The sequence below is a fragment of the Homo sapiens genome, chromosome 1, assembly GCF_000001405.40.
Source record: "Homo sapiens chromosome 1, GRCh38.p14 Primary Assembly".
Taxonomy (NCBI): domain Eukaryota; kingdom Metazoa; phylum Chordata; class Mammalia; order Primates; family Hominidae; genus Homo; species Homo sapiens.
Genome location: NC_000001.11, coordinates 112,082,048 through 112,084,036, shown reverse-complemented (window position 1 = coordinate 112,084,036; position 1,989 = coordinate 112,082,048). Strand labels below are relative to the sequence as shown.

Sequence of the window (1,989 nt, the reverse complement as noted above, 5' to 3'; positions counted from 1 at the left end):
ATTACTGGTGATAGATATACAGCATTGATTCATTTATTAAACAATAACATTGAACTCCTAGCATATGCCAGGCACTGTTCTCAGTGTTCTCTTTCATCTATGCCTTTCTTGGCAGTGGTACACTACGCAAGTTCTCAAACTTGCTATGTGACCTTAGTAGCTGGTTGAAAGCAGGTCAGGTCAACTCCCCACACAGGCTGAGAAAATCTCTTGGATGCCAACATCCTTGATTCAGACCCCATAAAGTGCAGGTTATGCCACAAGTCATCCGGAAAAGTCTCAGGAGATCTCTGCGTTGTCTCAAGGTTTTAAAGTCAGAAAAGTATAAACCCTCTCCAAGGTGCTGAAAACAGCTGCTCTTACTATGTGTGAACGAGAAAACTATCAGGGACTGCATTTGGTCATCACTCAACCCTCTGAAGGATCAGCAGGACAGATGCTTTTCTTCTAATCATTGTTTAAGTAATGAATGAAACTAAGTTTTTGAAGTTTCCTCCTTTCTCCTTCCCCCAGGACCAAGTGATATTAAGCTGTAGAAATAGCATTCATGTCATCTGTGGAGTGACCCATCCTTTCTAGGAGTGAGAGAGTGGAAAAGGGTCCTTAAGATATCTGAATCCTTGAAATCTCTGGTTAGCATTGTGTTGGTTATAGGTGTGATAGGGGAGAGAGAGTGGGAGGAATGGTATATGCCCTAGCTGCACTAAGTAATCCTTCCCTCCTATCTACTCAACATTAATGCTTTGTCCTTTTCTACTGGGAAAATAGTAGAATTTAGGAAAGAGGCAGATATAATAGCTAAAAACTTGAGTCTAGAGTCTGATAGTCTCAGATTTGAATTTCATATCTGTCATAAACTTGTTTAATATAGTTGCTGCTTTGGCATCTATTTTTAAACCTGACATCAGTTATTCGAAACCCAGTTTTGCCTTGTTGCCTTTGGTCAGGTTAAAGCTCCCCTTCCCTGTGTGGTTGTTTCAACACAGCCTGTTTGTTCCTCCTTTCAAAGATGGAAAGCCAGATACACCCCACAGCTGCTGGCCAAGATACAACCTAGTGATCAACACCAGAGTCATGTAAATAATAAGTTCTCTCGTATGCATGTGCTTTTAAAAAAAAAAAAACAAATCAATATGCAACCCCCACAGGAAAGCCTAAGGAATAATGCCCATGGACATTAATAAAGGCGTAGTCCCACAGGCGCTCTCTCTCTCTCTCTCTCTCTCTCTCTCTCTCTCTATCTCTCTCTATCTCTCTCCCCCTCCTTCCACCTTTCTCCCTCTCTCACTTCCTCACTCCCTCTCACTGTCCGTCCACTGGTTGAGCTTCCTGCTGCCTTCAGACTTCCCAGCAGTTCCCCAGTCAGCACCCCTAACTTCTTGGGGACCTGTGAGTTGTACATTTCTCCTGTTTTATGCATTTTGGTTTTATGTCCTCATTGTGGCTCACCTGACAAACCCAACTGAATGTAACTCCACCTCCCCCTCTACCCAAATTAGGGCTTTCTTGGAGAGTGGCTGTCTTGGCTTATGGATACTCTTAACAGAGAGACCTCAAGAACAAACCAGAAGAAACCATAACAGTAAAAATTACAATAGTATCACCATATGTATCAATTAGGATTAGGCATAGTTCCAAATAAGAGAAAACAAAAGTTTCGTGAGCTATCAGGGATTAATTTTTCCTCATCTAAGTTCAGAGCTAGGCAGTTTAAGGCTGTGAATCTCCTCAGGAATGCCATTATGAGCCCAAGTTCCTTTTTCCTTCCTGCTATGTCTTGGTATCATGTGGTTTCCATCCTCGGAGTTATAAAATGGATGCTAGAGTTCCAGGCTTCATGTTCACATTTCAGGCAGGAAGAATAGGCAAAGAGCATGGAAGATGAGTCTGTCTCTTAAAAAAATTGTTCCAGGAGATTCACCTAGAAACTTTGACTTACCTCTTATTGACCAGACTTTCTTATTGCAAGAGAAAGTATAAAAAACAATA

At 41.7% G+C, this 1,989-nt stretch overlaps 1 annotated feature.

Annotated features, from left to right (window-relative positions):
- Positions 223–423: a silencer, noted in NCBI's record as "peak366 fragment used in MPRA reporter construct". NCBI's record gives its function as "represses an SCP1 promoter by STARR-seq MPRAs in K562 erythroleukemia cells {active_cell/tissue: K562}" and the evidence as "EXISTENCE:reporter gene assay evidence [ECO:0000049][PMID:32103011]".